The 13,489-nt window shown below is 41.5% G+C and overlaps 1 long non-coding RNA gene across 7 annotated transcripts in view, besides 1 other annotated feature; it reads left to right on the forward strand.

The window, feature by feature from the left end:
- The first annotated feature begins 231 nt into the window (after window positions 1–231).
- The window catches only part of LOC102723633 (uncharacterized), a 35,846-nt gene continuing 22,588 nt past the window's right edge, over window positions 232–13,489 (forward strand). For 2 of the 7 annotated variants that reach the window (XR_943047.1, XR_007059787.1), the window contains exons 1-2: window positions 232–1,029; window positions 3,376–3,581. This is a non-coding gene — a long non-coding RNA (uncharacterized LOC102723633). Of the gene's footprint in view, window positions 1,030–3,375; window positions 3,582–6,187; window positions 6,661–9,364; window positions 10,871–13,489 lie in introns of those variants that run through there. The other 5 variants (XR_943044.2, XR_943049.2, XR_943053.1 and 2 more) reach the window with 4 other exon arrangements.
- Window positions 8,465–9,310: an enhancer, noted in NCBI's record as "OCT4-NANOG hESC enhancer chr6:137744471-137745316 (GRCh37/hg19 assembly coordinates)". NCBI's record gives its function as "activates a minimal SCP1, AML or CMV promoter by ChIP-STARR-seq in naive and primed H9 embryonic stem cells {active_cell/tissue: H9 hESC(naive and primed)}" and the evidence as "EXISTENCE:reporter gene assay evidence [ECO:0000049][PMID:30033119]".

Consider the following 13,489-nt stretch of genomic DNA (forward strand, 5'->3'; position numbering starts at 1 on the left):
CTCCTGCTGTCTCTACAGCTGCTCTGTTCCAATGACCCCCGGAAGGTTCTGGGGATTGTTAGAAGAGATTTCTATTAATCAACTACAAACCGACTGTTACAATTTCACACTTTTTTCCCATCATTTCACACATTTAATGAATTTGGGTGTCTTTTACATTCAAAACACTTACAATCAGGCCAAAAAAAAAAAAAAAAAACTCACCCAAAAAAAAAAAAACCCTTTCTTTAACACAATAGGCAGTAGCAAGACAGCAAACGCCACTTCAAGACTGAATTTCTGAAACTGGCCCTTTAGCTGAGAGTGGCCATCCTTGCCGGGGCGGGCGATTTACTAGTTTACTAACATTGTTACCAGGCAGCAGCCCTGGCAGCATTTTACTAAATCCTCAACAAGAAAACTCGCAACTCGTCTGAAGTTTCAGTTTGTTTGTTGTTACTGGAGTTATATCAGGGAGTTCTTTTCTATGCCAGACTGGAGTTCAGATTTAAATCTTGCCCAACTCAAAAGCAAGCGCACAGGAAACACGAACCTCGCCGCCGTGAGAGCAGCCTGAGTGAGCCAGCACTCACCAAGGAAAGGGCTGCAGGTTCGCTTGAGAGTGAGGATCAGCCGAATTCCTCACGCTGCTCACTGAGACTTCCCCTCACTGAGACTTCACGCTCCTCACTGTCGGCTATCGGCCGACAGAAGATCTCACATCCAAGTCACAAAGACTCAGAACCTTCTTCAACAAGAAACGTCACTTACAACGTGTTTGCTTCTCCATCTCTAAGCTCAAAGTGCCCCGTTTCTCTACAGCAAATTAGACTTTTTGCCTACTTTGGTGCTGAGAAGCCCAAACTACCAACCAAAGCTTTGGTTTTCTCTGAGGGCTGTCGGTACAGACGAGAGGCCGGGATTGTTCTCTAGCAACCCCTGCCGGTTGACAATAAATGCCAGAAACTGACCCAGAGGCATTAGTTCATCCCCACGTTGGAGGGAAGTAAAAAATGTCAGGCTGAGGGAGAGCAGGTAGCACCTGAACGGGTAGGTGATTTCGTGTCAGTTCATCTTACATCAGCAAGAAAAGTAGGGTCGGATTTGATTTATATCAATATTTGGAGTGATGAAAATAATAGTCTATCAATTGGGGGAAATCTATACTGTATTCCATAGAAGTAATTAGATTTTATTATTGATGACAGACTACTGAATAATTAAAGTTTGCTAATTTTCTCTCTCTTCATTTGTATATTCTTTCTGTTTTTAAACTTTGGCTTCTCTTCACATTATTACTTTGGTGGACTGTGGGCACTTTTGCCTTCGTGGGCCCCTTCCACCATAACGATAACAACATATTATTACATAATTTTAAATATGTCAACATTTTTTTCCTCTTTTAGATAAGGTGTAACAGATTGTTGTGGGCCCTTAAAATTATCGTGGGCACCATGCCTTGGGGCCCAGTGGAGAAGGCGGCTCTGCTCTCTGAAATGTTCCCCTAAGGGGCCTGGAATACTTTTCTTCTTCAAGTTGCCTTTGAGTTTGAAGATGTTTTAGTGCTGCTTTACTCATTAGCTAAGATACTGGTCCTAACATATCTTTACATCTATTTTCTGATATACCGTGCCATATGTCTTTTAAACAAAACACTGCTTCCTGGCAAAGAAGCCACTGAGAGGCCAGTTGTTTGTTTGTGCACAGCTGGGTTTCGTCTTGCCTCTTGAAGGCCTAGGCTTAATTTCCTGAGTGCATTTCACCATACCTGGAGACATTTGGACAAAGCCTCAGACACAACTCGCACGCTCACACCCAGTGCCCATACATCACCAACTTACATTCATCTATTCATTTGTTCAGAAAAAAACCCACCCAGTTTATGTTTTTAAAATTTCCCCCAATTAAACTGCCACTTCTAGGGCTTAAGAAACAAACCCAGGAATTTAATTTCTTGGGAAATTTTTCCAGAGGCAAATCAAGAACGCAGCCTGTCTAGTTCCCTGAGCTACTGACGTTCTAGGAGGAGGGATGATAACGGTTGAAGGGAAAGCCTGTAAAGTGATTGTACTCCCAAGAGCCTGGATGATTCAGCAAAAGCAGGCTAGGAGGCTGTGAGCGCAGAACTATTTTGCCCCTGGAAATGAGACATCCAAATTCAACAGGGACTTTTTTTTTTTTTGTCCTTTTGAGGATGGTTCTCCCTGACAAGAAATACCGGAGAAAAGCACAGCTCCCTTCAGCTGTCCCCTTCTGTGGGTTTTCCCATACGAAACTGTGCCCAGCCTGCCACCCTGCACTTTGTTATTATGACAGGAAAAAATGAATTTCTAATGTGCTACCTCTACCAGCTGCAAGGAGCTTGTGGATCTTCAGTCACTAGGCTCCCCGAGGGGAATCAGCCTGAATCAGGGTGGAAGGCCAGGACAAGGAAGAGCATCTCTAGGTTTAAAAAAAAAAAAAAATCTCTTTCCCTCTGATATTGGCATGAAGATGTTCTTAAGAACAAAGGTAAATTTACAAGCACATGTTGGACAGGAAGGGACAAGCACCAATGTCCCTTGCTGAGCACCTGCCTGTCACATAGATGATTTCATTAATTCTCACAATACTTTCAGAGAGTATTAGTTCCATGTTTATATACTAAGAAACTGAAGGGCAGAGGGAGCCCCAAGTATCCTCCCCAAAACTACACAGTTAGTAAGTGGCTGAACTCCGGCTTTTCCCTCCCTGACTCACTATTTAATAATGTATTGCATTGTAATAAGCAGAAATGAGTTGCTCTCTACCCTGTTGTATGATAGAAACAGCTCAGTCCGTGCTCCTGACAGCATTTGGTGTTTTACTAACATCCACTGAGTCCATGTGTGTGGGTAGGCTCATTTTAGAAACATGCCTAGACCTTTCCAGAATTGGTGACCCATGGAAGTGAGCAGCTACTTAGAAGTCTGATATGAAGAGGAGAAAAAAGGTCTTAGAGGGCACGTATTTCAACTCTTTTATTTTATCTCCAAGGAGACCTTAGTTCAGGCCTTCAACATTTCACATTTGAATGATTCTTAAGTGGTGATTCTGTCTCACTTTAGCTTCTTTTCACACTCAAGGAATATCTCTTAAACTCAAATGGGATCATCTCATTCTACTCCTTTGTTTACTGAATAATTCTACCAGAGTTTTATCATCCATGGCAAATTGCTCTTTGCCCTAAAATCTGTTCTTCCCTTCATCCTGGACATACCCATTCCACCCCCAGCTAGAGACTACATTTCTCAGCCTCCTTTGTGGCTAGGTGGCCATTGACTAAGTTCTCATCCACGGAATGGGACGATGTAATATGTACGCTTATTTAAAAAGAAATTGCTACTCTGACCTTCGTCTCTTTCTTCTTCCCATGAGCTAAAACGTAGATACGTCCGTGACCCAACTTCAACCAACCACGCAACGTCAATGACCCAGGGGATGCTGGAGCAACAGGAAGGAAGGAATTGATTGAACAATCACGTGGAGCAAAGCCACGTTGTTATTTAGGGCTACTACTTAAATCAGAGATCATCTCTGTCTTCTTTAAGCCACTTCAGTTTGGAGGCTTTTTGTTCTAACAGGTTAGTGTTTACCTAAACTAGTGCGACATCGCCCTTCTCATTAGCATTCCTGCCTCCCTTTCAATCTTATCAGTAGTCACATCTCCAAATGCTCCCTGTCCTCCAAATATAAATTATAAATCTTCCAATTCTGTAGTAAGACCACACATAAAAACACTTTCCTGCCTTTTTACAGATGGTGTTGTTAACTGCCTCCCCGCCATTCATTCTCCCTTCTCCTGGCAACAATATTTTGATACCCCTTGGAGGAACTTACCTCTCTCTCATTCTTTGCCATGTGATTAGAATGGGAATGAACCCCTTCCAGTTCTGGGGATAGTTCTTGACTGGCTGAAGCCATTGAAATAGCTTTTTCCTGTGGAGGCTCGGAAGACAATACTCCAAAGGACTGCATTTTGCCAAGTGAGTACTTTGTACTCAAGGAAATTGGAAGGGCCTCAGAAGCAGGAAATCCTCTCTGATCTTTCTCACCTCTTTTTTCCTTCCCCCATTTCTTCCCCAAAACAGGGCATAGAAACTAGAACTCCTCTCCCTCAAAGCAAGCCATAAAACCTAGAAATGTCACTCTCTGACCTTCTCCCTGAAGACCCTGACCCTCATGTGACAGGTATCCTGTCTATACCCAGAGGAAGAAATTGCTACACAGAGAGGCTGAGAAGAAGCTGGACAAACAGGCCTTGCTGGGTTTCCCTCTCAATTATTTACCATTAGATCACGCCTTTTTGGTCCAATCATATTTCTACATGGCTGTCCATTGTTCATCAAGCCTAAGTATGAAAATAGTTTTCCCTGGGTCTTTGAGTCTTTGTTTCTGAAGGCTGTCATCTCACATAAAAAACTCTGTTGGCCGGGCGCGGTGGCTCACGCTTGTAATCCCAGCACTTTGGGAGGCCAGGGCGGGCAGATCACGAGGTCAGGAGATCGAGACCATCTGATCACGAGGTCAGGAGATCGAGACCATCTGGTGAAACCCCGTCTCTACTAAAAATACAAAAAAATTAGCCGGGTGTGGTGGAGGGCACCTGTGGTCCCAGCTGCTCGGGAGACTGAGGCAGGAGAATGGCATGAACCGGGGAGGTGGAGCTTGCAGTGAGCCGAGATTGTGCCACTGCACTCCAGCCTTGGCAACAGAGCGAGACTCTGTCTCAAAAAAAACCAAAGAACTCTGTCAAGTAAATTTGTTATTTTTTCTCTTGCTAACCTGTCTTTTATTAGAGGAGTGTCAACTATGACCTTATACTCCCCCATTAACTACAGTGATAAATTCAGAGATGTGTACATAACCCAGTTAGATCTCATGAGCAAAAATGAATCCTAAGACTTTTGCAACATTTTCCCTGGAGAGTGTTGGATGCAGATGTGAGTTCTGGAACTGTGATGGTCATTTTGTTACCACGAGCAGACCCTGCCTGAAGACGAAGGAATGTAGAACTGACAAAGACACAGAAAGATGGAGCCAGAATCCTGATAAGATTGTTTGAATCTTAAGTCGAACTATATGTAAGACAAACCTACTCATATTTTGACTTCAACCAATTTGAGTTGGGGAGTCTGTCACCTTCATCATAAAGAATTCTAACATGCTTTGGAGATGATCTTCCCTTGGAGCAATTTGTTTTTAATACTCTTCCATGTCAGCAAAACTCCTATTCATTCTTCAAGTATTAGGCAATCTCTCACCTTTCCTGTAAAACCTTGCATGATTCTGCCAACCTCATATCCCTCAGCCAGAGTTAGCTGCTTCTTTCAGTGATCTTAAAAAGCTTTGCATAGATTTTATCATTTTTATTACATGTTGTAATAGTAGATCATGTATATTTTCAAATAGCTGAAAGAGAGAGTTTTGAGTGTTCTCAACACAAAGAAATGATAAATGTTTGAGGTGGTGGATTTGCTAATTACCCAGATTTGATCATCACACGTTGTATACGTGTATCAAAATATCACACTGTACCCCATAATTATGTGCAATTATTATGTGTCAATTAAAAATAATAATTGTTAAAAAGAAGCCGGGCACGGTGGCTCATGCCTGCAATCCCAGCACTTTGGGAGGCCAAGGCAGGCAGATCGCTTGAGGTCAAGAGTTCAAGAACAGCCTGGCCAACAAGGTAAAACCCTGTCTTTACAAAAATACAAAAATTAGCTGAGTATGGTGGTGCATGCCTGTGATCCCAGCTACTGGGGAGGCTGAGGCAGGAGAATTGCTTGAACCCAGGAGGTGGAGATTGTAGTGAGCCAAGATTGCGCCACTGCCCTCCAGCCTGGGTGACAGAGTAAGACTCCATGTCAAAAAAAAAAAAAAGAAAGAAAAAAAATTGTTAAAAAGAGTATATCTTCCTCAGAAGGCCTAATGACTGTGAGTAACTTGAGGTCAAAGAACACGTTTATTTTTTGCCATAAATTTTAGCCTAGCAGAATGACTACAATATAAATATTCAACATCTAACACATTTGTTATTTTTTACTAAAGCATGAAGGAAACAACAAAGTTTATTTCTACTCATACTAAGAAAACAATGACTTAAAATTAGATCACAATTAGAATTTGTTGCTTTGTGAGGTAGTGAGCTACCTATAACTGGAGGTGATGAAGCACTGGTTGTGAGCCAGATCAAAACCCTGTCCTGGGGAGACAATTGGGTATGTCCAGGTGCAGTTGTTCAATGTGATTTAGTCCCTACCAGGAGGTCTGGTTGCCTGGGTTCAGAACAGCAGAGGAAAAATTAGACAAAAGACACATTCAGAAGTCAAGGTGCTCTGACAGTTCAGCAGACATATGACCTAACTTCAACCAGCAGACAGGATCTGACCTAGGAAAGATGAAGACAAAAACCAGATCTCAAACAGATGTATTGTAGTTCAAGGTAGGGCAATCAGACCTGTAGGAAGACTGAGCAGGCCACTGAATTGGGCCCCCGAAAGAGAAGCCCAGACATGAGGACTGGACCCACCCAGGAACTGGGAGTAAAGCAATTTGGGGACAGTTGGGTCCTAGGCCTCGCCTCTAGGAAACCTGGATTGCCCAGTCGGTGCTGAAGGTGTCTCAGATCTGCTTGGATCTATAATATTGGACCTGGTAAATATAACTTGATTCAGACTCCTTTGGACTCTGGAGTGAAGGCTATTGCATGTGCTGCAGTGTTGTTAAAGTGAACTAAATATGGCCTGAGAAGGACTCCGTACTTCTATAGTTGAGTTCTTGTGGAGGAACTGTAACCTAGCTTAATAGGCAAGATTGAAAACCTAACTTAGGAGTATGCCTCTGTAACAATAGCTGAGTGTTGGCCAATCCCAGCAGCCATACTTTAACCACTCATAGGCTGCTGAGTGTTCAAATAAGGCAAACAGGGAGCTGTAACTAATCCCACTGTTTCTGTACCTCACTGCTGATTTCCTTACGTCATTTTACTTTTTTTGTCTATAAATTTGTTGTGCCCACAAGGTTCCCCAGGAGTCTCTCTGAATCTGCTTTGATTCTGGAGGCTGCCTGATTTGCAAATAATTTCTTTTTTTTTTGCTCAATTATACTCCTTCAAATTTAACTTGTCTGAAGTTTTTTTTTAAACAATGTCTTTCAAGACTAGCTTGAAAAATAAGATGGGCCTCCTTCCACATGGGAGTTATGAGGGTAGATACCATTTTATGGAACTTTGTTAAGACCAAGGAAGAAGAAATGAAAGCAGAGATAGAAAAGAACTATTCTACTGGAGAAATATAAAACTTTCCTAAAAATCAATTAATAGGGACATTTGGCAATCAACTGAGTACACTTTATGGGGTTTGGGTCCATCTCGTTACTGGCAATGATTTTAAATTTACTAGTCTCCATCCAGGGACTAAGTTTTGATATGCCATGACCAAAGTGTTCATACATAAAATTAAAATCAATATGCAGATTTCTTACTTCTGCCTTTCCTTCAGTGTTGGGCTAGCAGTATTTGTATTGCAATGACCTCTCTATGGAATAGAAGAGTAAATCAGACTCCATTAAAATTTGGCTAACACACAATTCAAATATGTCTAGGATTTTTTGTTGTCTTGTAATAATCTCTCATATAAATTCTTACACTCCTCTCTCTGTAAGACTGGACAATCATTTCTCCATTAGAATATAAACTCCATGAGGGCAGAGATTTGTTCACTGATTATTGTGAGAACATAGAGCCTGTACCTAGCACTTCCTCAAAAAATATTTGCTGATGGAAACTAAATGTTGGCAATTGGGAAGTGGGGAGGCTTTCTTTTATTCCATTTTCTTGTATTTTCTTCTTTCATTGGCTTCCTGTTTGTTAAGGCCATACTAGGTACATGAGATATTTTTAAAGACCTACTCTGACTTCAAAATTACATAGATAATTTTTCATCAATTTTAAAAAAGTGAAACACCTGCTATAAGCCATATGTCATGCCAGGGACTGCAGGAACTACAAGTATGAAAAAGACTAGGACCTTGTCTTTTGTTTACAATTCAATGAAAGAGATAAAAATATACATAAGTTACTGTAATGTGAGGTGTTATGAGTTATGTGATTGGAAAAGAAGCATATAATCTATATTGTGATCTGGGAGATGGTTATAGTGATGTGTACATGTGCAAAAAGTCATAGCACTGTACACTTGAGATTATAAACTTTATTTTATATTAAGGTATAATTGATAAACCTCAACTTAAAAAAAGAGGCACTAATTAGGGGTTCAGAGGAAGAGTCAGTTTATGACAAAGAGAAAGCCTTAACTCATTAGTACCTTGTCTAATTAGGCAGCCATGATTTAGTCTAGACTTGCTTAATATGAAAATCTAACACTACAGTAAACATTATAGTTTGCCATGCATGAAAGTGCCTACTGTTCTTGCCTTAACTGCCCAATATTTGATTTTAAGTGATGATCCACCATAATTTTAGGTAAATACAGAGCGAATCTTCCCATTGACTCGCCTGACTCTGACCAGTTGTCACAGAGGCGAGTAAAATCACAAATATGTTTAATAATTCTGAAGGTGGAGACCTTCCTAGAACCCACAGGTCTTAGCAAAAAGAGCCTCCCCAGTAGCTAATACCTTGAAAGCTTTGACATATCCCCCACCTGGGACTGATGGCCAGCTGTCAGGCCTGAGTGACTGACTGCCCATTGGCTGGGTCTCTGCAGGTGGTGGTGACATTGATGGAGGATGATGGATGACTCTGACATAGCCCCACCCCACCCACTTACCCATATGCATGACAGAAGGGCTCCCAGCCTGCATGCCCTGGCTGACAATACCTCCAAGTAGGCATGTAGATGTGTAAAAACAATGCATTCAGAGCCAGCTACAAATACGGAGGCATTTAATGAGTTGCTAATGTGAAAATAATTTTCTTTTCTGACTTTTGAATTGTTGGAATAAAGACACATAGAGGGAAGCCATACAACTGGTAATGATTCTGCTGAAAAAAGAAAATAGCTTTCAGAAAATGCAAAACAGTTGCCGTCAGAGGTTGATAGGAGTTTACTGAGGCATCATTCCTTTATTTTTCTACTTCCTCTTCTCACCCCAGCCCACCTTGTTTTGAGCATGTGTTTTCACTATCTCCTCTTTCTTCCTTTTATGTGAGCTGAATTCTCTTTGCCTCTTTCGTGCATTTTTTCTCTCCCTTCCCTCCTCCACTATTCTTTTCTCCCCTTGCTTCTCCTCTCCTTTTGTCTCCTCTACTCCTCTCTCCCTGTTTCTTAATCCCTATTTCTTAATCTCACATGAGTTTTTTTTCCTTTTTTTATTATTTTGTTATCGTTTTTGTAAGGATTTCAGGGGAAGTGTGTATCTGGAAATAAAAATCAGAAAATTTGGAGAATAAAAGAACAAGGAAAATTAAGGAAGGATTTTTTTCAACCTTAAAAGCCACCTTGAGAAATGAGAGAAGAGAGGATTGGCTACTCGGTATTGTGCTTTCTGCTGTCTACCTAGAAGACTTGAGGAAGAAGCCCCTTCACATTCATCAGTCACTTGAATGACATGAAAGACAGGATGTTTCTTGCACTAACACCCGTGTGTTCAAATGGAAAACCTCATGTAACAGGAAGCCTCGCTAGCAAAAGACTAATTTTCTGTGAAGTTCTGGCTAAACTAAGGAAAAGTCTGATTAAGAAAGCACTTCTAAAGAAATAAGCCTTTATTACTTTCAAATATACACAGTAAAAGAACTAGAGGCTTCTCTCCTGGGAGCTTCTAAGAAACTACTTTTATTGGCTGGGGGGTAATATGTTAGCAATAGATGAAATCTGATTGTGACATATCAATTGTATGTAAATTAGCATTTCTGCTAAGATTGTTTGAGAACAGTTTACTTTCATAATTGACTGAAAAATGCTTCTTTCAATTTTGCTGACACTAGTAATGCATCTGGCAAACTTTCCCTTCAGAGAAGTGTCAGGTTAAGCTTTATCCCAGGTACTGTTTCAAACAAACATAAACTCTAATTTTGTGAGGCCCATATTAATAAGTCTTTTTTAACTTTTTTTTTTTTTTGAGACAAGGTCTCACTCTCTCCCCCAGGCTGGAGTGCAGGGGTACAATCATGGTTCCACTGCAGGCTTGACATCCCAGGCTCCAGTGATCTTCCCACCTCAGCCTCTTGCATATCTGGGACCACACCCACAATGCCCAGCTAATTTTTTTTTTTTAAGTTTTTTGTAGAAACAGGTTTTACATGTTGCCCAGGCTGGTCTCAAACTCCTGGGCTCAAGCGATCCTCCCACCTAGGCCTCTCAAAATGTTGAGATTAGAGGTGTGAGCCACTGCACCCAGCCAGGCTTTACAATTTTTAAATAACTTTCAGCACAAATACTTGTGAACCAGAAACATTGGTTGAAAATATCTGTAACTTCTTTCTCAGCTCTAAATTACTGAGAAGCAAATGGAACCACATGTTACAAATATTTCACAAGAACCAGTACCATACTTTTAAACATCTTGATTATGATCTACTTGACAGTCATATTTGAGTTGTTGCTCTGTGTAACATAAGAGTTGGGCTACACCTTCAGAATAACTGGCAAAGCACCACCAACTGGCTGTGTCCTGAGAGGCTACCCAGCAACCTGGCTTTTTGTCTGAGTATCAGACGCCCACTCTTCATTGGACCATAGAGGTTTTTCTCCCTAGTCCTCACCTCCAGCTCACTCCACCAAGTTATTAGGAGTCTCTGAAAGAAACACGGAACACCCAGAGCAGAAAGCCAATTTCTAATTGGGCCATCAGATAGGGAAGAAATGACAACTTCAACAAGATTTCTTGTGATCCTTGAGAGGTAATTTTAAACCCTTTCCTGTTGGTTGTAGGAGAGAAAAAGTAACTTGTTTTCCTTACTCATTGCAAGGTTCATGGCTGACACTGCTATAGCAAAAGTCAACAAGAGAAAAGCATAACCAAATTTAATTCATATAAGTTTTTTGTGACACGGAACCTTTAGAAATGAAGACCCAAAGATCCAGGGAAAACTATTTTTATGAACAATCTTGCAGAAGTGTGATTGGAGGACAAAGGGGTATGATTTAATGGTAATAAACGTGGGGGAACTTAGCAAGGCCTGTTTGTTCAGATTCTTCTTGACCTCCAGGACTGCTCTGGATGGAGGGTCTTATGACCTACTTTCAGGGGAGTAGGCCAGAGAATTTTTTTGTGACCTTCTTCAGGGGAGGAAGGTGGAATAAGGTCAGAGATAAAGAAAGAGGGTCAGAGAGTGCTCTTCTGCTTTTGTGGTTTTCTCGATTTCTTTCAGCCGTAAATACTCAGTATGCCCAGGTGTCATTGTAGAAGATGAGAATGGAAGGCACAGAAAGAATGTGGCATGAGTAAGAAGGAGGAACTCAAGGCTTTTCTTATTTTACAACCTGAAGAAAGGAACCCATAGAAATAATCCTTTATTTCACTGGTTATTTGTTGCTGAGGGTCTCCCTGGCTTGGCCCACCTAGATCTACAGCATATAGAGACCCTTGGTGCAATCCAAGAGGAGGGGAGAAATGCCAATTGCTGTATCAGCATAAATGCACAAACTCAGAAAGCTACTGGCAGCAAGCCATGGGTTCAAATCTGAGCTCTACCAGTTACTTTCTATGTGACCTCAGACAAATTGCTTAGCTTCCAAACTATTTCCCTGCCTCCTGTATTGCACCCCTTTTAATGCAGCCAAGGCAGGACAGAAAGTGCAAGGCAAAGAGCTTGAGAGAACACCATGAGGAAGATATCTTCATGAGGTTGGCATGGCTGGAGCTGAGGATGTATGTAGGGATGCGAAGCTAATGAGAAATCCAAAAATCAAGGGCAGGAGAGAGACCAGAATCAAGGCCATTTTGGAGGTTACAGTAATACCCTACAAATGAGATGAAGAGAAACTGAACTTGGATAGTGGCTGTGAGAAGGGAAAGGACTCTACCTTTAGGAGACAGACTCAGCGAAGGGCAGTACAAGGTGACTTCCAAGTTTAGGTCTAGATAAATGGGGGGGTGGTGCGGGGTGATGGCTTTCATGTAAGTAGGACCGTAAGTGAAATTGGGAGGGCTTGAAGGGAAAAGATGGGTTTAGTTTTCCTAATAAGCTAAATTTGTAGTGCTAAATATCCATGGAGAAGTCAGGAAGGCCGGTAGAAATGAGAATTTGTTTCATCATTTTTCTTTTTTTTCTTTTTTTTGTTTGAGACAGGGTCTTCTTCTGTCAACCAGGCTGGAGTGCAGTAGTGCAATGGTGTGATTTCAGCTCACTGCAACCTCAAGCATCTGAGGCTCCAGCAATCCTCACACCTCAGTCCCTGAGTAGCTGGGACTATAGACACATGTCACCATGCCTGGCCAATTTATGTACACACACACACACACACACACACACATGCACACACATACACACACACACACACACATGCACGTATATGTATATATATATATTTGGTAGAGACAGGGTTTCGCCATGTTGCCTCGGCCAGTCCTTTTTTCCATTTGTATCACGTAATGTGTTAAAAATATACAATCTTCTTAAAGTTGAGGGTAATTAGGATAAATAAAATAAATACTTAATTAAGAGAGTCCTCAGTATACCAATGCTGAATATAACTGATTCAAGAAAAAAATTTAATTCTGGGAAGCATGCTTATAGATAGTAAATTGAATTTTATGTGTACATGTGTGATAGACACATCCAGATTCACACACACACACACACACACACACACACACCACACACAGAAACTGTTTCCCTATTCATTAACAGAGCAGAAGGAAACCATGGCATTGAGGAAGGAGTAGATGATCACACCCAGCCTCCTGGCTTGATTAATAAGCGACAGAATCATGTTCCTGTTTTGAGGAAGCTTTCCTATCATGGCTGTCGTCTCTGGAGAGCTCCAGCCTACAAAGCGATAACATCTGGTGCCCATTATTTCCCCAGATCTGTTGTGATTAGTCCATATGATAAGCCTGGCCAATTGCTGTGGGCAAGGTATTGCTACATTCTCCCCATCAGGGTACTGGAGCTGTCACTTCTGGTTTGTGGCCCCTGCTAATTTGCCACCAAAATTTCCAATATCTGCTAGAATTCCACAAGGAAATCTCAGTGCCTTGGAGGGGCAATAGGCTGTGTGGCTGTAGACAGAAGGCCAGCGCTGATAATAAAGAGGCGAGGTTTATCAATTAACTCAAGCAGCACTGTGTGGACAGTGACCAGCGGTCCACTCCCACTTCCGTTGTGTCAGGTTGATGAAATGGTCCAGGAAAACTTCAGATTTGCTGATGACAGAAACAGTGAAGCATCTGAAAGTTAGAAGAAAAAAATGGTTTAGAAGCTCTTTACTATTTGACCAAAGTGAATTTTCTGGCCTTCCAGATGCCTTTTCCTTCTCCATTCCTCCCCCTCCCTCTCACACTATGATACATGAGG

The sequence above is a fragment of the Homo sapiens genome, chromosome 6 (genome assembly GCF_000001405.40).
Source record: "Homo sapiens chromosome 6, GRCh38.p14 Primary Assembly".
In the NCBI taxonomy this organism is placed as follows: domain Eukaryota; kingdom Metazoa; phylum Chordata; class Mammalia; order Primates; family Hominidae; genus Homo; species Homo sapiens.